This window comes from Homo sapiens, chromosome 1 (genome assembly GCF_000001405.40).
Source record: "Homo sapiens chromosome 1, GRCh38.p14 Primary Assembly".
NCBI lineage: Eukaryota > Metazoa > Chordata > Mammalia > Primates > Hominidae > Homo > Homo sapiens.
The window spans coordinates 162,493,148-162,516,814 of NC_000001.11; the positions used below are offsets into that span (position 1 = coordinate 162,493,148).

At 39.8% G+C, this 23,667-nt stretch overlaps 1 protein-coding gene across 3 annotated transcripts in view, besides 3 other annotated features; it reads left to right on the top strand.

Moving 5' to 3' along the window:
- Positions 4,027 to 23,667, top strand: part of UHMK1 (U2AF homology motif kinase 1) — a 32,458-nt gene continuing 12,817 nt past the window's right edge. Inside the window, exons 1-6 of one of the 3 annotated variants that reach the window (NM_001184763.1) lie at positions 4,027 to 4,149; positions 6,808 to 7,100; positions 7,766 to 7,957; positions 10,607 to 10,701; positions 19,353 to 19,429; positions 19,578 to 19,676. In NM_001184763.1, coding sequence (NP_001171692.1) covers positions 4,104 to 4,149; positions 6,808 to 7,100; positions 7,766 to 7,957; positions 10,607 to 10,701; positions 19,353 to 19,429; positions 19,578 to 19,676 — 802 coding nt within the window. In that variant the 5' untranslated portion in view covers positions 4,027 to 4,103. Of the gene's footprint in view, positions 4,150 to 4,657; positions 5,122 to 6,807; positions 7,101 to 7,765; positions 7,958 to 10,606; positions 10,702 to 19,352; positions 19,430 to 19,577; positions 19,677 to 23,667 lie in introns of those variants that run through there. The other 2 variants (NM_144624.2, NM_175866.5) reach the window with 2 other exon arrangements.
- Positions 4,407 to 4,907: an enhancer, noted in NCBI's record as "H3K27ac hESC enhancer chr1:162467344-162467844 (GRCh37/hg19 assembly coordinates)". NCBI's record gives its function as "activates a minimal SCP1, AML or CMV promoter by ChIP-STARR-seq in primed H9 embryonic stem cells {active_cell/tissue: H9 hESC(primed)}" and the evidence as "EXISTENCE:reporter gene assay evidence [ECO:0000049][PMID:30033119]".
- Positions 4,642 to 4,721: an enhancer, noted in NCBI's record as "active region_2009". NCBI's record gives its function as "activates an Ori minimal core promoter by ATAC-STARR-seq in GM12878 lymphoblastoid cells {active_cell/tissue: GM12878}" and the evidence as "EXISTENCE:reporter gene assay evidence [ECO:0000049][PMID:35858748]".
- Positions 4,908 to 5,408: an enhancer, noted in NCBI's record as "H3K27ac hESC enhancer chr1:162467845-162468345 (GRCh37/hg19 assembly coordinates)". NCBI's record gives its function as "activates a minimal SCP1, AML or CMV promoter by ChIP-STARR-seq in primed H9 embryonic stem cells {active_cell/tissue: H9 hESC(primed)}" and the evidence as "EXISTENCE:reporter gene assay evidence [ECO:0000049][PMID:30033119]".

Below are 23,667 nucleotides of genomic sequence, written 5' to 3' on the forward strand. Positions count from 1 at the left end.
TTTAGATATAGTAGGAGAGGGGCTGGGCATGGTGGCTCATGCCTATAATCCCATCACTTTGGGAGGCTAAGGAGGAAGGAGCCCTTGAAGCCAGGAGTTCAAAACCAGCTTGGGCAAGAAAGTGGAGACCTTGTTTCTAAATAAATAAATAAATGGATTTTTAAAATGAAAAAAAAAAATAGTTGTGCAAGATGGTGTGTGCCTGTAGTCCCAGCTACATGGGAGGTTGAGGCAGGAACGTCACTTGAACCCAGGAATTGGGGGATGCAGTGAGCTATAATTATGCCACTGCATTCCAGCCTGGGCAACAAGTGAGACTCTGTCTCTAAAAAAAGAAGAAGAAAAAGAGCAGGAGAGTGCACACATCTCAGTGACAACCAGACAAGATGATGAAAAATGATACTGAAAAGCAGATGTGTCAATGAAAAAAGCCAAACTCTGTAAAATATTTGAGAAGATTTATTCTGAGCCAAATATGAGTGGCCATGGCCCAAGGCATAGTCTCAAGAAGTCCTGAGAACAAGCTCCCAATATGTTTGGATTACATCTTGGTTTTATATGTTTTAGGGAAACATAAGACATCAATCAATATACGTGGGTACACACTGGATTGGTCTAGAAAGGTGCAACAAAGCAGGGGTGATGGCTTTCAGGTCATGGGTGGATTCAAAGATTTTCTGATTGCAGTCGTTTGAAAGAGTTATTGTCCTGTAATCAATAGAAAGGAGTATCTTGGATAAGATAAGGAGTTGTATAGTGAGAATACATAGATACAGGGAGGGTAACAACACACACTGGGGCCTGTTGGGGATGGGATGGGAGGAGGGAGAGCATTGAGAAAAATAGCTAAGGTATGCTGGGCTTAATACCTAGCTGATGGGTTGGTAGGTGCAGCAAACTACCATGGCACACATTTACCTACCTATGTAATAAGCCTGCACATCCTGCACGTGTACCCCGGAACTTAAATAAAAATTAAAATTAATAAGAAATAAAAAAGATAAGGGGTTGTAGAGACCAAGAATCTCATTATGTAGATGAAGTCTCATAGATGGTCATCCTTAGAGACAATAGATGAAAAATGTTTCTTATTTGGACCTTTAGAAGGTGCTAGACTCTCATTTAATATCTTCAGGGTTGGGAGGGCCTGGAAGGGGGAAAAGCCATAGTTATGTTAACACAGATTATTTACAGATGCAAATTTCCCCCACAAAAGACAGGCTTTGCAGGGCCATTTCAAAATATAGCAAAGCAACATATTTGGGGGCTAGGCACAGTGGCTCATGCCTGTTATCCCAGCACTTCGGGAGGCCAAGATGGGTGGATTACCTGAGCTCAGGAGTTCGAGATCAGCCTGGCCAACGTGGTGAAACCTCAACTCTACTAAAAATAAAAAATTAGCTGGGTGTGGTGGCAGGCACGAATAATCCCAGCTACTTGGGAGGCTGAGGCAGGAGAATTGTTTGAACTCGGGAGGGAGAGGTTGCAGTGAGCCAAGATCGCACCATTGCACTCCAGCCTGGGTGAAATTCCATCTCAAAAAAAAAGCAAAACTCTGTCTCAAAAAAAAAAGAGGCCGGGCATGGTGGCTCACGCCTGTAATCCCAGCACTTTGGGAGGCTGAGGCAGGCAGATCACAAGGTCAAGAGATAGAGACCATCCTGGCCAACATGGTGAAAATACAAAATTAGCGGGGCGTGGTGGTGGATGCCTGTAATCCCAGCTACTCGGGAGGCTGAGGCAGGAGAATCGCTTGAACCCAAGAGGCGGAGGTTGCGGTGAGTCAAGATCGTGCCATTGCACTCCAGCCTAGGCAACAAGAGCGAAATTCCGTCTCAAAAAAAAAAAAGGAAATATATTTGGGGTTAAAATATTTGTATTTCCTTCTTTATCTGTCATGTGATGTTATGCCAGAGTTAGGTTGGAAAGTAAGTCACGTTATATGGGGTTAAACAAAACCCATCTTGTGGCCGGGTGCAGTGGCTCATGCCTGTAATCCTAACACTTTGGGAGGCCAAGGTAGGAGGATTACCTGAGGTCAGGAGTTCGAGGCCAGCCTGACCAACATGGCAAAACCCCGTCTCTACTAAAAATACAAAATTTAACCGGGCATGGTGGCGCATGCCTATAATCCCAGCTACTCGGGAGGCTGAGGTGGGAGAATTCCTTGAACCCAGGAGGCAGAGGTTGCAGTGAGCTGAGATCACGCCACTGCACTCCAGCCTGGGTGATAGAGTGAGACTTTGTCTCAAACAAACAAACCAACCAACCAACCTATCTTGTTACTGGAAAGTGGTCTCAATCCAGACCCCAGGAGAGGGTTCTTGGACCTCACGCAAGAAAGAATTCAGAATGAGTCCATAAAGCAAGTTTATTAGGAAGTAAAAGGGATAAAAGAATGGCTACTCCATAGGCAGAGCAACAGCTTAGGCTGCTCGACTTATAGTTATTCATATTTATAGTTATTTCTTGATTATATGCTAAACAAGGGGTGGATTATTCATGAGTTTTCCAGGAAAGGAGTGGGCAATTCCTGGAACTGAGGGTTCCTCCTCTTTTTAGACCATGTAGGGTAACTTCCAGGACGTTGCCATACCATTTGTAAATTGTAATGGTGCTGGTAAGAGTTTCCTTTAGCATGCTAATGTATTATAATTAGCATCTAATGAGTAGTAAGGACGACCAGAGGTCACCTTCACCACCATTTTGGTTTTGGTGGGTTTTGGCTGGCTTCTTTACTGCAATCTGTTTTATCAGCAAGGTCTTTGTGACCTGTATCTTGTGTTGACCTCCTATCTCATCCTGTGACTTAGAATACCTAACTTCCTGGAAATGCAGCCCAGTAGATCTGAGCCTTATTTTACCCAGCTCCTATTCAAGATGGAGTTGCTCTGGTTTGAACACCTCTGACAATCTGATGAGATTTTATGGTTTGTAGGCTGTGACTCCTCACATCCCTTAGATAAGAATTTGGGGCCAGGTGCAGTGGCTCACGCTTGTAATCCCAGCACTTTGGGAAGGTGAGGCAGGCGGATCACAAGGGCAGGAGTTCGAGACCAGCCTGACCAACATGGAGAAACTTCATCTCTACTAAAAATACAAAATTAGCTGGCATGGTGGCAAATTCCTGTAATTCCAGCTACTTGGGAGGCTGAGGCAGGAGAATCGCTGGACCCCAGGAGGAGGAGGTTGCGGTGGGCGGAGATGCCGAGATCATGCCATTGCACCCCAGCCTGGGCAACAAGAGCGAAACTCCGTCTTACCAAAAAAAAAAAAAAAAAAAAAAAAAATTGAGCAAGAGAGAAGACAGGTCAGAGTTTAGTCCTCAACCTCTCCTCAAACTTTCCACTTAGCACTACATGAACCATCTCATCTGGCTGGGAACTTACACAAAACCTGAAGAAAAGAAGATAGGGCCTATTGTCTGATACTAAGTTTTTGCCACACAATCAGAATAGATCTTGAAATAGAAAAGGTTGAATGACTGAAAAGTAAAGAAGGCTACATTTCTTACACACTCGAGTTTGTGGATTGAGATGCCTATTTGCTACATTTGTTACTCAATAAACGTTTGCTGAATGAATAAAATAATTGAATAAATAAATGAAAAATAAAAATTTGGAACAGATCCGTGTTTGCCCAGGGTGAATGCTTTTTGATGAGGGAGCCATAGGCAAGGTGGACTATGTTGATAAAAAGAGTTAAACTCTGTAAAATATTTGAAGAGATTTATTCTGAGCCAACTATGAGTGACCATGGTCTGTGACACAGCCCTCAGGAGATCCTGAGAACATGTACCCAAGGTGGTTGGGGTGCAGCTTGGTTTTATACATTTTGGGAGACATGAGACTTCAATCAAATATATTTAAGAAATACATTGATTTGGCCCAGAAAGGTGGGAAAACTCGAAGCGGGAATTGGTGGGGGGAGAAATGGGTCCTTCCAGGTTATAGGTAGATTTAAAATTTTTCTAATTGGCAATTGGTTGAAAGAGTTATCAATAGAAAGGAATGTCTGGGTTGTCATAAGAACTTGTGGAGACCAAAGTTTTGTCATGCAGATGAAGCCTCCAGGTACCAGGCTTCCAAGAAAATAGATTGTAAATGTTTCTTACCAGACCGAAGGTCTGTGTTGACCTTAACCGGAGAGGTATGAGGCTAGTCGGACCCCCACTTCCCGTCATGGACTGAACCAGAATTTTAGAGTGCCCTGGCCTGGGAGAAAGTCCATTCCGATGGTTGGCGACACGGGGGGCTTAGAATTGTATTTTCGGTTTACATCTAAAAGAAGAACAAAGGTCTAGGCTTCCAGAATCATGGGTTCTGGTGACCGTGGACCTGGAGGTGATGGTAAACTCTCTTTTTGTTCCTGGGGTGTTTTCCTTGGGATCCTTTCTATGAGAAATGTAGGCCGGGTTTTATTTTTCGGGTTCCTAGTGGTGAGGTAAGGTGAGGTGCCTCAACAAGAAAAAGGACCAGTTTTGGCTTCAGGTCTATGTGAAAGCGGTTAACACTGGGCCTGGAATGGTAGATACTCAATAATTAAGGTTACTTCTTATTCTCGGTTCTTTTTTCCAAACCTAGCGCGTCTAATCTCTTCTAGGCCCCGCCCCTTCTGAGCCCCCCCTCCTTCGGCCTGTATGATAGGCTCTTCCTCCATTTCCGGCTTCTGGGACTCGGGTGCACCACGGCTTCCGGTGTCATGGCTGCTTGAAGTCCCGGGAGTCGGTGAGGCGGCTGCAGGTCCCTCCCTGCGGAGCCGCTGGTCCGGCTGGCGGAGATGTGACCGCGGGCCCGGCCGGCCTGCCTCAGGCGTCGCGTCAGCTCCCGTGTCCGTGCCCTTAACCCACACCGATGGCGGGATCCGGCTGCGCCTGGGGCGCGGAGCCGCCGCGTTTTCTGGAGGCCTTCGGGCGGCTGTGGCAGGTACAGAGCCGTCTGGGTAGCGGCTCCTCCGCCTCGGTGTATCGGGTTCGCTGCTGCGGCAACCCTGGCTCGCCCCCCGGCGCCCTCAAGCAGTTCTTGCCGCCAGGAACCACCGGGGCTGCGGCCTCTGCCGCCGAGTATGGTTTCCGCAAAGAGAGGGCGGCGCTGGAACAGTTGCAGGGTCACAGAAACATCGGTAATTGCCGCTGTCTCCTTTCTCTTCTTGCCCAGGTCACAGTCCGAGCACACTCTTCCTCTCGCTGTCTGGCGTTCCATCTTCCTCCCCTTCTGCGGGAGAAGCGGGTTTAGCCCTCTTTATCACCCCATCCAGGCCCCTTTCCCCTTTCACTTTATTACTGTCTGCGGTATAGTGGAGTTGGTGGTCTGCTTTGCCAGGTGTCACATAGATGCTCAGTAAATTGTCTTGCTTCGAGTCTCATCGGAGAATGCCGCATTCATTAGCATACAGAAATATCTTTTCTAGTGAGAGGAGGCATGTCTTTGCTAGATTGTCGTGTCTTGTGTGGAAATTTTTGAATCTTTGCATACCAGTAGAAAATGGGAACTACGTCTGGGCCTTGTGACATCAATGCTAGTAACTCGTATAGCTCACCTATTATATCTTTAGTACGGATTTGGAAGAAATGATGCACTATTCCATGGGAGCCTTTATAGAAGTGTGAAATTTAGGAACACTATACCTTTGCTCTCTTGAGACTGTTTCAAGAATCAGATACTCAGAATGTAAGATATGTAATGATCACTGATGATTGATCTGTGAAAAGGTTTCATTTTCATTACACGACAGAAAGCTTATCATTAGTTATAGCTTTGGTTATTAAAGAAAAGTCTTATTTCCTAGCAAGTATGATGCATAGTTAATTTGAAGAGTGAGTTTTTTTATAATATCATTTTGGAGAAGAATTAACACTAGTGCTACATTTTTTTAGTTTACTAAATGGTCTGTTACTATAACCTTGGTATTGAAAAGGGAAAAATTTTGCAAGCCTAGGGACTTGCCTGATCTCTGCAAGATTAAAATTTCATCCGAAAAGTCTTAATCTCTTTGTTAGTATTTAGATTATAGAGAGCTGTTTATTTTTGTTTTAGTTTTTTTTTTTGAGACAAGTTCTTACTCTGTCACCCAGGCTGGAGTACAATGGCGAGATCACAGTTCACTCCAGCCTCCAATTCCTCCTAAAGCCATGCTCCTACCTCAGCCTCCCAGGTAGCTGGGACTACAGGCACGTAGCACCAAGCCTGGCTAATTTTTTGTAGAGAAGAGGTCCCCTTTTGTTACCCAGGCTGGTCTCCAAACTCCTGGGCTCAAGCAGTCCTCCTGCCTCGGTCTCTCAGAATGCTGGGATCACGGGCATGAGCCACCGTGGCAGACCTAGACTGCTGTTTTGGATGAAGAAGCAATGTTTAGTTTGGTTTTTGCGCATTGTGACATTCCTTTTAAAAGAGTTACTTAATATTTGGGTTTTTACTTTTAAAAATTTCTTTTTTTTTAAAGGACCTCATGATGCAACAGTAAGTTTTATTTATTTATATTTAGGTTTTTTACTTTTAATCATTTTTGCTTGGCACTCCAAGTTCGTGTTCATCACCAATGAGTACTTGGTGAAACACAAATTGAATAATTGTACCATATTTAGTATCTGTGAATGGTAATCAGCTGTTGTAGGCTGTCTCATCTTATTTTTATTAAAATAACCCAATTGCCAAAAGATCTTATTCATGGGAAAAATAAATTACAGTGGAAGCTTGCTCATCAAAGTTATCCTTATCTAGACTATCTCAAATTTGTACTGCAGTTACCTACTTTAGTAGTGACTTACTCTGAGTCTGATTTTTAAAGTATTATAATTTCTTTTTCTAGTGACTTTGTATGGAGTGTTTACAATCCACTTTTCTCCAAATGTGCCATCACGCTGTCTGTTGCTTGAACTCCTGGATGTCAGTGTTTCGGAATTGCTCTTATATTCCAGTCACCAGGGTTGTTCCATGTGGATGATACAGCATTGTGCCCGAGATGTTTTGGAGGCCCTTGCTTTTCTTCATCATGAGGGCTATGTCCATGCGGACCTCAAACCACGTAACATATTGTGGAGTGCAGAGAATGAATGTTTTAAACTCATTGACTTTGGACTTAGCTTCAAAGAAGGCAATCAGGTAAGAAATAACCTTTTCTTTTCTCTCGCAGTTTAAAATGTAGTGGTTGAAGCCAAATATTTTTAAATGACAAGGGTAGTTTAGTAGGGGCTTACAAGTCATTTTAACCTAAATTACTGAAATGCCAGGGGATGCAGTAAATCAAAAGAATTTCAGTGCCACCGTGTAAAAAAAGGACATAATGTTTGGGTCAGGTAGGAGGAGCCAGTGAAGCATGAGAGCTCTGGAATTATTAAAAGTACTTAACCTACATAGAATGGTTTTTTAAATTTTATGCGTGTTTGGCTAATTGCTGAGTTACTATTCCTGGTCTCTTCAGTGTTGGGGCTGTATCTCGTGGCAGAATGCATATGATAGTTCTGCCAAATCCTCTTTTCTCCATGGTTTATCATTTCTTTGCAGTGTCCTTATTATCAGCAGTGCCTAATAGGTAAGAGACAATCCAAAGAAGACTTCTTTATGAGCGCTATATGGAAATGTACAGCTTGCCTCTGAGAACTGCCCAGTTAATGAACCAAAGAATTATGGTAATCAAGGACTAAAAATTTTTAGCATTTAGCTTGGCAGTGGGTTTACTGCACTCTTAGGGAAGTAAATTCACTGTAGAGATGGATAGAAAGGGAGCAGCTTTTTTATTGGTTGTAATATTTACTCATCTTTTTTAGGATGTAAAGTATATTCAGACAGACGGGTATCGGGCTCCAGAAGCAGAATTGCAAAATTGCTTGGCCCAGGCTGGCCTGCAGAGTGATACAGAATGTACCTCAGCTGTTGATCTGTGGAGCCTAGGAATCATTTTACTGGAAATGTTCTCAGGAATGAAACTGAAACATACAGTCAGATCTCAGGAATGGAAGGTAAACTTCACCAGTGCTTTGCTTTGGGGTCCTTACTTTCAACTTAAGAGTATTCAATTTATGATGATTTTTTTTTTTCTTTTGAGATGGAGTTTCACTCTTTCACCCAGGCTGGAGTGCAGTGGCGCAATCTCAGCTCACTGCAACCTCCACCTTCCGGTTTCAACCAATTCTCCTGCCTCAGCCTCCTGAGTAGCTGGGATTACAGGCGCCAGCCACCGTACCCGGCTAATTTTTGTATTTTTAGTAGACACGGAGTTTCACCATGTTGGCCAGGCTGGTCTCAAACTCCTGACCTCATGATGCACCCGCCTGGGCCTCCCCAAGTGCTGGGATTACAGGCATGAGCCACCGCACCTGGCCAATTTATGATGATTCTTTTAGAGAACTCTTGATTGCTGTCTGTTGTCCATACTCCTCTTTTTCTATTGATGATACTTGAATGCCACTACCAACTCCTATGGCTATCAATCTGCTAGTGAGTATTGCATTCTTATTGTTCCTAGCCTGTGGCTTGGCATATAGTAAGTGCTTGATAAAATGTTTGAATGAATGCATTTTCCTGAAGAAACAAAAGTGGTTTCTTTTGTTTACTAACAGTAATATTAAGTTCTAAAGTGTTACTAATACAACCATAGCTTATAAGTTAAATGATAAGTTTTATAGATTATCTTAACTGCTTTACAGTTAAAAAATATTTTTGCTGGGCATGGTGGCTCACACCTGTAATCCCAGCACTTTTGGAGGCTGAGGTGGGAGGCTCACTTGAGACCAGGAATTTGAGACCAGCCCAGGCAACGTAGTGAGACCCCAGTCTCTAGTAAAAAAAAAAAAAAAAAAATTATAAAAGGTATTTTAATACTTGTTTAATATCAAGAACAATAATCATTCCAAAACATTGTATTTATTAAACCTCAAAAAATTAGCTGGGTGTGATGGCACACACCTGTAGTCCCAGCTACCCAGGAGGCTGAGGCAGGAGGATCACTTAAACAGTAGCCTAAAGGATACTGATATTATCACAACATTAAAGCCCCACAATACCTTTGAAAACATACTGTAGTTAATTCCTAATTTATAAATGCATAAAAAGTTCATTCAAATATTAGAGGTTTGGAACTTAGATATTAAGCAACAAGTTTTTGATACTAAGCAACAAGTGTTTTTTTGAGCATCTAATACATACTGTATAGCTATTATAACATATAGTTTTGTTTCTTTTAAACACCTGGTCACTGATTTCCATTGTAGCATTTCCTGGAAGGGATATTTTAATAGCCCAATGTATGTACCTGATGCTTTTATGGGTAAAAATTGCTTTCTTGGGAGTAAAATCAGTATCATTCTTTATTATTGATATCCCAAACAATCAAGAGTCTTACGTATTCTTTCTTGGTGCTAATCCAGACATAGATCAGTTATTTGAATGAGTTTTGACTGTCTTTGAGCCTTTTGGACTATATCTGCTTGGCCTAGAGCTCATCAGAACTAGATCACATTCAAATTTGTGTGAAATTTAGAGGGGTGATGTGTAGTAATGGGATCTCCAATATATGCCTCTAGATAAAACGCTATTTTTCTGTTTTATCCCTTTCTATGGAGGCAAAATTGCCAACTGATTATGAGCATAGGCTCTAAAGTCAAGCTACTAGGGTTTGTATCTTGCCTCCACAAAGCTCTTACTAAGTTATTTATTTAGGTTCACTAAGCCATAGTTTGCTTTCTTTAAAATGAGGATAATAATGGCATCTATCTCATAAGACTACTGAGGTTAATAAAGAAATGATACTTTTAGCAAACAGCTCATGGTAAGTATTTAATAAATTTTACTGATAATGATAGTATCTGTTCTTTTAACTCATGTACACAGTTCTAAATTGTGAGTTAGCATAGTATTCAAGGAGAAAATATATTCTGTAAAGATTTAGAGAATGAGTAATATGACAAATAAGATGTTTTAATACTGCATCATATTCGCTTTGATAGTTTATTTCTGCCTGAAAACCAATTGAAGACTCGTTACGGAGATACCCTGAGTCACCTATTATACATTCATTTTTGCATTAAACTACATTCTTATGTGGTTACTTCGGTATTTATTTTTTATTCTTTCATCTAGTAGATGTTCATAGAGTGCTAGGCGCTGAAAATGAAGAAAAAAATGTTCTTCTCCAGAAGTGTGTAATTATGTATATTATTTCCTCTGTTAAGATTGTAGGCTCTTGCTGGGCACGATGGCTCACAGTTATAGTCCCAGCACTTTGGGAGGCCACGGTGGGCAGATCACTTGAGCCCAAGAGTTTGAGACCAGCCTGGGTAACATAGTGAAACCCCATAGCTATAAAAAATACAAAAAATTAGCTGGATGTGATGGCACACACCTATATTTCCAGCTACGCAGGAGGCTGAGGCAGGAGGATCACTTAAACCTGGGAGGCAGAGGTTGCAGTGAGCTGAGATTGCGTCACTGCACTACAGCCTGGGTGGCAGAGCAAGACCCTGTCTCCAAAAAAAAAAAAAAAAAAAAGATTGTAGGCTCTCAGAAGATAGTGTTTTCTGTTGCATTTTACTCTCAAATAGTGCTATATGCCTAGTATTCAATAAATACAGACTGAATAACCAAAGGAAAACTTTTCTCCGTTTTTTAAGGCAAACAGTTCTGCTATTATTGATCACATATTTGCCAGTAAAGCAGTGGTGAATGCCGCAATTCCAGCCTATCACCTAAGAGACCTTATCAAAAGGTATGTTACACGTACCATAAACTTGCTTTGCATTCATGTACTATGTGAAATGGTACGTCTTTTTTTTCTCTGAACAGATTTATATTATTATTTCTATGTAAGGAACATAAGTAATGAAATAGTTTTACCAAATTTGTTTTCAAAGGAATGCTCTTTTGCTCATAGTATCAGATGTTAAGCTTTTCCTGGCAGCTGCCTTTTCACTGGAAGATAGATTCACTGTACCTTTGGCCACTCATAGCCCTGGCAGTTCTGGATACTTGATGGAAAGCAGGTTTTTAAAGAGAGTCTTTTTTAACTAAAGATTGAGTTTGCTTTTGGACTACTCCCCTCCCCCCAAAAAAAGACCCAAAAACCATTTCGAATAAGATAGTTTTTTATTATACTTTAAATAATTACTCTTGACAACGGTCTGGGGACAGATACAGTTTTTCTGATATCTGAATAGATCCGAAAACAATAGATATTTTGAAAATACAAATGTGTACAGTCGTGTCATTTAACAGTAGGGATCTGTTGTGAGAAATATGTCATTAGGTGATTTTGCCATGCTGACATCATATAGTACTTACATAAATGTAAATGATACAGACTTCTGCCCACACCTAGGCTATATTGCACAGTCTATTGCTCTTAGGCTACAACCTATATAGCGTGTTACTGTACCAAATACTATAGACAGTTGTAATACAATGGTAAGTATTGTGTCTAAACATAGAAAAGATACAGTAAAAATACAGTATAAAAGATTAAAAATGGTATACCTTATAGGGCACTTTACCATGAATAGAGCTTGCAGGACTGGAGTTGCTCTGGGTAATTCAGTGAGTGAGTGGTGAGTGAATGTGAGGGCCTAGGACATTACTGTACACTATAAGACTAAGGGTAAACACTGTATACTTTGCCTACACTAAATTTATTTTAAAATTTTTTCTCCTTTTTTTGAGACAGAGTCACACTCCATCACCCAAGCTGGAGTGCAGTGGCACAATCTTGGCTCACTGCAACCTCTGCCTCCCAGATTCAAGCGATTCTTGTGCCTCAGCCTCTTGAGTAGCTGGAATTACAGGTGCATGCCACCATGCCCGGCTAATTTTTGTATTTTTAGTAGAGACGGGGTTTCACCATGTTGGCTAGGTTGGTCTCGAACTCCTGACCTCAAGTGATCTGTCTGCCTCAGCCTCCCAAAGTGCTGGGATTACAGGTGTGTGCCACCGCTTCTGGCCAAAATTTTTTTTCTTCTATAATAAATTAGCTTAACTGTAACTTTTTTACTTTATAAACTTTAATTTTTCTTTATCTTATTTACTTTTAAAATTTTTTGTTAAAAACTGAGACACAAGCACACCTTAGCCTAGACCTACACAGGGTCAGGATCATCAATATCATTGTCTTCCACTTCCACATATTGTCTTACTGGAATGTCTGCAGGGGCAGTAACATGCATAGAGCTGTCATCTCCTATGTTAACAATGCCTTCTTTTGGAATACCTCACAAAGGACCTGCCTGAGACTATTTTACAGTCAACTTTTTGGGGGAGGGCGATGTACTTTAAAGTAGGAATAAAAAAATATATAGTTATAAATACATAAGCCAGTAACACAGCTATGTATTGTCATTATCAAGTACAGTAGTTTTGTTTACATCTATGTCCTACCGCAACACCTGCATTACCTGCATTACCACAAGCATGTGAGTGATGTGTTGCGATAGGACATTATGATAGCTACGATGTCGCTAGGCGATAGGAATTTTTCAGCTCAGTATTATTTTATGAGATCGCTGTCATATATGTGGTCCATTGTTGACCAAAACGTCATTGTGCAGTATATGACTGTATTATTAAATAGTAGGTTTTTCAGATTTCTAGACTATGGACTGGAAGTGAATAAAATAATTAGTATGCTAGAAAAGTATGGATCCCTTGTCTGAGTTAGAGTAGTATAGTTTCCTTTGAATATTGGCCCTATAAACCTTTAAGTTAGTTTTATTAACTCTTTACTTTGAAATAGTTACAGACTCACAGGACTTTGCAAAAATGTTACAGAGAGGTCCCTACCATTTACCCAGTTTCCCCCAGTGGTAACTTTTTACATAACTGTAGTATATACAGTATCAAAACCAGTAAATTGAAATAGGTATAATCCACATGATTTATTCCTATTTCACCAGTTTTACGCATACTTACTTGTGTGTGTTTTTCAAATTAGTTTTAAATAGCTGTTAGTATCTGATTGATATGAGATATTATAAATTGCATTTTACATTGAAGAGATGGGAATGAAAAATTATAAAATGGATTCTAGCCTGGAAGTTAAATTTTCATCTAAGTTCTAGTATTGACTTTCTTATTTTTATTTTTTTTAAATAATAGCCCCCCCCCCCCCACCATTTTACATAGAATACTAAATTTGGAAACTATAGAAAGTCATCATGAGGAAAATAAAAATTATAAACCCACATTCTAGTGTTAGCACTTTGGTATATTTCCTTCCACTATTTTTCTGCATATTGCATTATATATGCATGCAAGTCGCTGAACCTTTTTTGTTGCTGTTGTTGAATAAAGCACAGACACTAAAAACACTAATTAAACAAATGTGTAGCTTAATCTGTAGGAACATTGTACCCATCTTGTAACTACCATTCACACCAAGAAATAAAACTTTTCCTGTCACCCTGGAAGTCCTGTATGTGTCTCATCCCAATCTCATACATTTTTGTTTCCTTGAGTGTCCTATATATTACTGCATGTGTTTCTGTTGAAAGTTTGATGACTCAGTAATTGCCTTTTCATTAAAAGTCGCTTGGTCTTCCAGCCTGGCCAAGGTGGTGAAACCCCGTCTCTACTAAAAATACAAAAAAAGTAGCCGGGCCTGGTGGCACGTGCCTATAATCCTAGCTACTCAGGAGGCTGAGGCAGAGAATTGCTTGAACCTGGGAGGTGGAGGTTGCAGTGAGCTAAGATCGTGCCACTGCAATTCAGCCTGGGCTACAGAGGGAGACTCTGTCTCAAGAAAAAAAAAAGAGTCACTTGGTCTTCTTGTCTAGATGCCCAGAGGATTTTAACTTTTTCTTCCATGTATAGTAATTTTATCAAAATATATTTTGATTTTGATTGTTCTGGGTCAATATTCTCAGAAATACGGTATGTCTCTTAAATTACAGTTTTTAAATATTTTTTCTGTTCTTTTTGGTTTTCACTTTCATGTCCTCCTCGTCTACATACGTTTGATTTTCTTTGCCTTATATTCAATGTTGCCATTTTTTCCTTTCTTTTTTTTTTTTGAGACGGAGTTTTTGCTCGTTGCCCAGGTTGGAGTACAGTGGCATGATCTCGGCTCACTGCAACCTCTGTCCCCTGGGTTCAAGCAATTCTCCCACATCAGCCTCCCAAGTAGCTAGGATTACAGGCTACTGCCACCATGCCTGGCTAATTTCTATATTTTTAGTAGAGACAGGGTTTCACCATATTGGCCAGGCTGGTCTTGAACTCCTGATCTCGTGATCCGCCTGCCTTGGCCTCCGAAAGTGCTGGGATTACAGGCGTGAGCCACAACGCCCAGCTGCCATTTTATCTTGATTCTATATTATCTCTTTTTCCTTTCTTTTTTTAAGAGACGAGGTCCCACCATGTGCCAGGCTGGTCTTGAACTCAAGTGACCTTCCAGCCTCAGTTTCCCAAAATGCTGGGATTACAGGCATAAGCCACCACCCCCAACCCATTCTTTCTTTTTTTTTTTCTTTTTTTTTGTGATACGGAGTCTCACTCTGTCGCCCAGGCTGAAGTGCAGTGGCGTGATCTCGGCTCACTGCAAGCTCCGCCTCCCGGGTTCACGCCATTCTCCTACCTCAGCCTCCCGAGTAGCTGGGACTACAGGCACCCGCTACCACACCCAGCTAATTTTGTGTATTTTTAGTAGAGACAGGGTTTCACCATGTTAGTCAGGATGGTCTCGATCTCCTGAACTCGTGATCCGCCTGCTTCGGCCTCCCCAAATGTTGTGATTACAGGCATGAGCCACCGTGCCCCGCCTCTTTTTTATTTTTAAAAATATCCTCCTTTTTGCCTACTCTTTAAGACATTATTTGTTATGTTTATTCATCCTTGTATCTCTTATAGTGTAATTTTATTTTATGAAATGATTTTTAAAATGTCTAATTCTTTCCTGAGTTCTATTACCTTATTTTTGTGATTTTCAATTTTTTTTCTGTTGCTCTTTCACATCTTATATCGTTTTTTAAAAATGTCTAGCTCATTTGAGTTTTTTGCAGGGGGAGGAGAAGACAAAGTCTCACTCTGTCACCCAGGCTGGAGTGCAGTGGCACAGTGCTCACTGCAACCTCCGCCTCTCAGGTTTTAGCGTTCCTCCCTCCTCACCCTCCTGAGTAGGTGGGCTTACAGGCGGATGCTGCCAGGCCCAACTAATTTTCATGTTTTTAGTAGAGACAAGGTTTCACCATGTTGGCCAGGCTAGTCTGGAACTCCTGACCTCAAGTGATCTGCTTGCCTCAGCCTCCCAAAGTGCTGGGATTATGAGCGTGAGCCACCACGCCTGGCCATTTAGCTCATTTTGAAATGGTAGGCTCACACCCATAATCCCAGCACTTTGGGAGGTTGAGGTGAGCAGACCACTTGAGGTCAGGAGTTCCAGACTAGCATGGCCAACATGGTGAAATCCCGTCTCTACTAAAAACACAATTTAGCTGGGCCTAGCAGCATCTGCCTGTAATCCCAGGTACTCTGGAGGCTGAGGCAGGAGGATCGATTGAATCCTGGAGGCGGAGGTTGCAGTGAGCCAAGATTGCACCACTGCACTTCAGCCTGAGTGACAGAGCAGGACTCTGTCTTCAAAAAAAAAAAAGTAGATTATAATGGTCATATCTTTCTGGCATACATTATCTGAGATTTATCATTTTGCAGTTTTTTTTTTGTACAATAGATACTTTTCTTTCTCTTCTTTTCTTTTCTTTCAAGGCAGGGTCTCACTCTGTGACCCAGGCTAGAGTGCCATGGTGTGATCACAGCTCACTGCAGCTTTAAGCAATCCTCCCACCTTAGCCTCCAAAGTAGCTGGGACCACAGGCATACACCACCATGCCTGGTTTATTTTTTTTGTAGACAAAGTCACACTATGATGCCCAGGCTGGTTTTGAACTCCTGGGCTCAAGTAATCCTCCTGCCTTTGCCTTCCAAAGTGCTGGGATTACAGGCGTGAGCCACCACGCACAGTCAGTTATAATCCTTTTTATGTTGCCCATTTTTATGTGAAAATTATTTTCCTAAACTTAAAGAAAATATACTTGGGATAACTTTTCTTATATAGGGCTCCCTCTTCTGTTGTTTTGTATAATATTCCCCAAAAAGTGGCTTTTTTCAGAGATCTCCTGGCTCTTCTCTTCTGCTTTTTTCTGGTGCCTCTCTCTCTCCCCTCATCCTGCTCAATTTGGATTGTGTTCCCAAGATTTCTTCTCACTGTGGGACTTTGCACTGAAAGAAAGCTTTGGCTGGTTAGTTTTAAGAGGTCTTAGTGTCTAGATTACTCCAACCTCTTATGATTTTACAAAGAACTGCTTGTATTCACTTAGTATTAGAATGTATAACCCCTTATAGTTTCAGCTGCTTTTCTCCAGCATCTTGCTGTGCAGTCCAGTGAGTACCTTTTGGCTGTTTGGGTTTATTTTTTTTCTGGTTCATCAGATCAATTGTAGCTTTCCTCTGCCTTCTTACACATAGATGCCAATATAGTGCAAATCTTACAACTATTGATAGTTTGGCACTATAGGTTTTTTTTCGTATGTGTGTGTGTATGATGGAGTCACACTCTGTTGCCCAGGCTGGAGTGCAGTGGCACGATCTCGGCTCACTGCAACCTCCGCCTCCCAGGTTCAAGTGATTCTCCTGCCTCAGCCTCCCCAAATAGCTGGGACTACAGGTGCACAGCACCATGCCTGGCTAATTTTTTGTATTTTTTAGTAGAGACGGGATTTCACCATGTTGGCCAGGCTGGTCTCAAACTCCTGACCTGAAGTGGTCCACCCACCTCTGCCTCCCAAATTGCTGGGATTACAGGCGTGAGCCACCACGCCTGGCCTAGTTTTTGTTTTTTAAGTGGCTTATTTTTACTTTATAAATGCTTACTTACAATAAGGAAATAATGGTCTTTTTATGCCACAAACACTTCAGTAGCTATATAGAGATACATTAATTTTATTAGACTATAACAGCATCTCGGTCTTCTTTTTTTAATGACATAAAATTGTATGTATCATGTACAACGTGTTTTAAAGTATATATACATAATGGAATGATTAAATCTAGTTAATGAACAAATGCATTATTTTACATAGTTATTTTTTGTGATGAGAGTGCTTAACATTCACTCCCTATGTTTTTCAAGAATCCAATATATCATCATTAACTAGAATCACCATGTTGTGCAGTAGATCTCTTGAACTTATTCTTTCTATCTAACTGTAATTAGGCATCTTTTGGCTTTGGCCAATGTCTCCCCAAACTCCTCTCTCCTCTAACGCCCCCACCCAGCCTCTGGTAACACCATTCTTCTCTCTACTTCTGTGACATCAACACTTTTTAGAATTCACATATGAGTGAGATCATGCTGTATTTGTCTTTCTGGACCTGGCTTATTATAACACTTAACATGATGCCCTACAGGTTCATCTGTGTTGAAAATGACAGGATTTGCTCCTTTCAGTGGCTGAATAGTATTCCATTGTGTATATATATATCATATTTTCTTTTTTTACTCATCTGTGTTTTTTGTTTTTTTTTTACTTTTTACACATCTGTTTTTTAATTTTTTTTTTAAGCTAACATGCAAGAAATGAACACTTATCTGTTAATAGATACTTAGGTTGATTCCATATCTTGTATATTGTGAATAGTGCTGCAACAAACGTGGGCCTACAGGTATCTCTTCATCATACTGATTTCATTTCCTTTGGATATATACCCAGTAGTGGGATTGCTGGTAGTTCTTTTTTAAAAATTTTTTTTAAGGGGCCTCCATACTACTTTCCATAATGGCTTTACTAATTTATATTCCCACCAACAATGTGTACGGATTCCCTTTTCTTTATGTCTTTTGTCTGTTTGATGATAGCTATTGTAATAGGTATGAGGTGATACCTCATTGTGGTTTTGGTTTTTCATTTTCCTGTTGATTAGCGATATTGAGCATTTCTCATATACTGTTGGCTATTTTTATGTGTTCTTTTGAGAAATGTTTGTTCAGGTCTTTTGCCCATTTTTTAATTGGGCTATTTGTTTCCTTGCTATAAAGTTATTTGAGCTCTTTTTTTCTTTTTTCTTTTTCTTTTTTTTTTTTTTTTTTTGAGACAGGGTCTCGTTCTGTTGCCAAGGTTGTAGTGCAGTGGTGTAAACATGGCTCACTGCAGCCTTGAATTCATAGGGTCAAGTGATCCTGGAACTACAGATGCATGCCACCACACCAGCTAATTTTTAAATTTTTTTGTAGAGAGAGGATCTTGCCATGTTGCCCAGGCTGGTCTCGGACTCCTGGGCTCAAGCAGTCCTCCCACCTCTGCCTCCCAAAGTTCTGGGATTACAGATGTGAGCTACCACACCCAGCCAAATTGAGTTCCTTATATATCTTGTATATTACTCCCCTAGCAGATGTATAGTTGGTAAATATTTTCTCCCATTCTGTAAGTTGTCTCTTCACCCTGTTCATTGTTTCCTTGGCTGTGCAGAAGGATTTTAGTTTGATATAATCCCATTTGTCTGTTTTTGTTTTTGTTGCTTGTGCTGTTGAAGTTATATTCAAAAATTCAGTGCTCAGAACAATGTTGTGCAGCTTTTCTCTTGTTTTCTTCTAGTAGTTTTGGGTCTTACATTTAAATTGTTAATCCATTTTGAGTTGATTTTTGTGTAGGTCAGAGATAAGGGTTTAATTTTATTCTTTGGCGTGTTAATATCCAGTTTTTCCCAGCACCGTTTATTGAAAATACTGTCCTTTCCCCATTGTGTTTTCTTGGCACCTTTGTTGAAAATCAGTTGGTTGTAAATATTTTTTTTTCCCTGGGCTCTCTGATCTGTTTCATCAGTCTGTGTGTCTGTTTTCATATCAATACCATGCTGTTTTGGTTACTGTAGCTTCATAGAACTTTTTTGAAGTCAGGTAGTATAGTGCTTCCAGCCTTGTTCTTTTTTCTCAAGATTATTTTGGCTATTTAGGGTGTCCTTATGGTTTTTGTTATAGATATTGTCCATGGGTTTTTGGTTTTGCTATCTAGTTGCTTTATTATTAGAGAAATTTGATGAGATTCAACAATCATCCCACCGATATCTTTTTTTTTTAATTGTGTTACCCTAAATCTGTGTCTTTTTTGTCACTCACTGTTACAGAGTGTGGATCACTTTGCAGTGTTTCATTTATTAATCAAAAGTGTTATTTTAAATCACAGTATAATGTCATAGGTATGTATCATGAATTACTAAACCATTTACTAATAAATAGCATTTGTATTTATAAGTGAATGATTCAATAAATCATGCTAATATAATTAATGCTGTGATGAACATTCAGACATTCTTACTTTCTTTAATGGTTGCATTTTCAAAAGATTCAGCAGAAATGATAAGGCACCTATTTTTGTGTTTTAGCATGCTTCATGATGATCCAAGCAGAAGAATTCCTGCTGAAATGGCATTGTGCAGCCCATTCTTTAGCATTCCTTTTGGTAAGTTGTGTATTCTTTTATTTTTTTCTTGGTCATTTGACAGTCATACAAGACATCAGCACTAATTTATATTCACAAGTTCCTTTATCTGGTGTTCAACTTATTTGGGGGGATTTACATTTAACCATATTATGATGAATTTTAACAGCCCCTCATATTGAAGATCTGGTCATGCTTCCCACTCCAGTGCTAAGACTGCTGAATGTGCTGGATGATGATTATCTTGAGAATGAAGAGGAATATGAAGGTTAGTGTTTTCTAAATTATATTTTAATGTGTCTTTCTTAAATAAGTCTAGAATAAACATATCCGTAACATTTTCATATTTCTCAATTTATCTAATGAGAATATTGAACAATATGATCTCTAATATACTCTCACTTTTATCTTTTTGAGGCGGAGTTTCACTCTTGTTGCCCAGGCTGGAGTGCAGTGGCACGATCTCAGCTCACTGCAACCTCTGCCTCCTGGGTTCAAGCCTCAGCCCCCCAAGTAGCTGAGATTACAGGCATGTGCCACCAGACCTGGCTAATTTTGTATTTTTAGTAGGGACGGGGTTTCACCATATTGGTCAGCTGGTCTCGAACTCCTGTCCTCAGGTGATCCACCAACCTCAGCCTCTCAAAGTGCTGAGATTACAGGTGTGAGCCACTGTGCCCAGCCCTCTCACTTTTTAATTCATAATGTCCTTTTGACTCTTTTACGTTTCATCTTTACCCAGTTAATGAAGAAGATTAATTTTCCCAACAACTTCTATCTCTCTGGTCTGTCTCTTCTAGCCTTTCCCTATGCTTGCATTTCTCCATTTTAGCTCTCTTTTTTGCTTTTAACATTCATTCATTTAAGACATATTAACTGAGTATTTACTATGTGCTGTTGTGGGATTACTTCCCGTCTTTAGTATAGTAGGGGATACGGCTACATAAACAATTATAGTTGTGATAATCTGAAGATAGGGTACTATACAATGGCAGAAAGGACAAGTACTTAACCCAATCTTAGTAACTGGTGAATGCTTCTCTACAGACGTTATATCTGAGCTCAGTAATTTGGAGTTGCTTGACTAAAAGTTGAGGGGTTAGGAAGTAAGTAGCACAAACACATAGATATGAAAGTGTCAGAAAACAGCAAATTGGTATGACTGTATCTTAAGATATTTGTTGGGGAGCAATCAGTTAAAGCTAACGAGGTAGCCAGAGTACAGACGAGTTTGCTATGTTTAAGAATTTGGATTTTATCCGAGAGATAGTAACACCAAAATACAGATATGTGAAGAACTTTGCGTCAGGTATAGAATAATATCTAGTTTATGATTAAGTATTCAATACCTATCTGTTCTTTGTTGAATGCAGTAAGGAGTTTATTAAATAATTTTAAATTGGAGAATGACATAGTCAAACCTGTATTTTAGTAGGGACATTTTGGAAACAGAGAGGGAGTGGACTAAAACAGGGCCAAACTTAGACCAAGGACAACAGTTGTGAAGCATTTGCATCAACCTATTGTTACTAGTACTAGAGAGACAATTTTGTGTAGCGGTTAAGAGTGTAGGCTTAACAAAAATTAGCTGGACGTGGTGGCACATGCCTATAATCCCAGCTGCTCGGGAGGCTGAGGTGGGATAATCACTTGAACCCAGGAGGCAGAGGTTGCAGTGACCCGAGATTGCACCACTGCACTCCAGCCTGGGCAACAGAGTGAGACCATCTCTGGAAAAAAAAAAAAAAGAGGGTAGACTGAGTTTACATGATGTCTCTCACTTACTAGCTTCTTTGCAGTTTTTTGCAAAAGAAGGAAACTATAGTTTCCTCATCTATAAAATGGAGATAATAAATAGTACCTATCTTGTAGAGTTGTTGTGAAAATTAAATAATGTATAAACATTTCCTAGAACCATGCCTGGCAAATAGTAAACACTCAACAAATATTACCTATTATTAACCACTAGAATACAATCTGGTTTGTTTTGTTTATTGCTATATTAATAGCACTGACACACAGTAGGCACTCAAATATTTATTGTAGGAAGGAAGGAAAGAAGGAAGGAGAAATAATTTGCAAGGAGCCAATCTATCTAAATGCAGTGACTAAGTGGATATGAGAGCAAGAAGTGAGGCAGGTTGGGGTTTTGCATGAGGCATCTGAATTAAACCACTTGGCAGATGGTGGTCCTAGTTAAAGAGGTAAGGAATAAAAGAGAAAAAGCAGACCTTGGGGATTCATTTTGGACAAGAGGAATACCTCCTGTACTCACTGAAATAGGTTGGAAGAGAAAGAATTTTGGTGTGGCTGTATCTAAGTTACGTAAGTTATAAGTAAAAGTAGGTAGGAAGTTAGTGATGTTCCTGCATAGTAACCAAATGTTTTCTGTATATGTCCTTCAGCACTCAATTTTGGACTTCTCTAATTTTTTCCTATTATTTTATTTACTTTCAGGTCTTAACTATTATTTTGCTAACAAATGATGCTCAAATATCCTCTAGACTCTTGACCTATTTTTAATTTCTCTATCTTCTGCCCATAAATTATATCAGTTTTATGTCCTCTTAATATTTAAAATAGAAAAAAATTTAAAACAGCAAACAGAAAGCTTTATTTTATGTTTCCTTTTCCTTTTACTTTGTTTCTTGTTCTCTGGCTTAACACTTACTTTGTGCCTAGTACTTTATATATATTATTTGAGAGGTAGTAGTTATTTTTCCAGTTTATAGATAATGGAAGTAAACTTAGGTTTATTCACAAAGCTAGTAAATATTTTTAAAGCCAGATATTTAGGTCTGTATATCTCTAAAGCTCTTATTTTTCTATTTAAAAATATCAATTGCTTAATATTAAATATTCTCCTTGTAGAAAATTAAAATGTTACAGATAAGGCTAATTATATGACAGTACCTCTTGTAAATGATTTCATATCCCTACAGTGTAGTGAGAGAACTGTAATTTCTTTGAGTCTGTGACCATTTTAAGAGTCTTGAGTTTTCAGGTTGTCTGTCTGAAAGAAAGTCTTGCCCTCAGCATTGTTTCAGGTTACGAAGGTACAATGGCTCTGAATTTCTTGGAATCAGTTCAGAATACTACTTAGGTCCTTTTAGTCTTCGTCTTTGTAAAGACCTGCTGTCTTCATCACCTCATTCTGTCTACTCCTAATAATTTTTATCTCTTTAAAACTGAAGCTTGGCCGGGCGTGGTGGCTCATGCCTGTAATCCTAGCATTTTGGGAGGCCGAGGCGGATGGATCACGAGGTCAGGAGATCGAGACCATCCTGGTTAACATGGTGAAACCTGGTCTCTACTAAAAATACAAAAAATTAGCCGGGCGTGGTGGCGGGCGCCTGTAGTCCCAGCTACTCGGGAGGCTGAGGCAGGAGAATAGCATGAACCCGGGAGGCGGAGCTTGCAGTGAGCCGAGGTGGCACCACTGCACTCCAGCCTAGGCAACAGAGCGAGACTCCGTCTCAAAAAAAAAAAACAACAAAACTGAAGCTTGGCCTGTTTTTGAATAAACCTTTAGACAACCATATAACCCTCCTCCTCTATCTTGCTGTGACTTTTTTTCCACTTTTAAATACACGGAGTCTTTAAATTTTGTTTAAATGTTGCTATTGAATCTTAGTGTTTAAGAATCTGAAGTGAACCAAAGTGCAGCAGACAATACGGTACCATTAAATACCTTTGTTACTTCTGATGAACAGGGTCATCATGAAATAACAAGTTTCTTAGCTAGAAATTATGGTATGTGTTGGAACAGCTGTCTTGTAATCTTGATAGAGGCAGGGAAGGAAGTTAAACCTTACATTATAGACCAAATTAAATTTCAAATCAAGTATAGATTAAAATACTAAAACAAGGGAATGAAGTAGGGAGGAAGGGAAAAAAGAAAGGGATGAGGGAAGGAAGTAGGGCAGGTAGGAAGGAGATACTTTTTTAATATAAAAAGACATCGTAGAATTTTGTGTTTTAATATTCCTGAAGTTGGAAAGGCCTTTTTTGAATATGGCAAAAAACTCAGAAGCAGTATAATAAGCATTGAACAAAATCAACCCTGACAAAAATCACCCTAAGAAAGATTAAAAGACAAAGGATAGTTTAAAGAAAAAATATTTATAGTTTAAAGAAAAAATATTTATAGCTCTTATTACAGTTTATGGAAAAGGAAGTAGACAAGTATTTTACACATATGCTTTTACTCTCTATTATTATTGAAATGCTAATTAGAGCCAAACTGCAATATCTTTGTT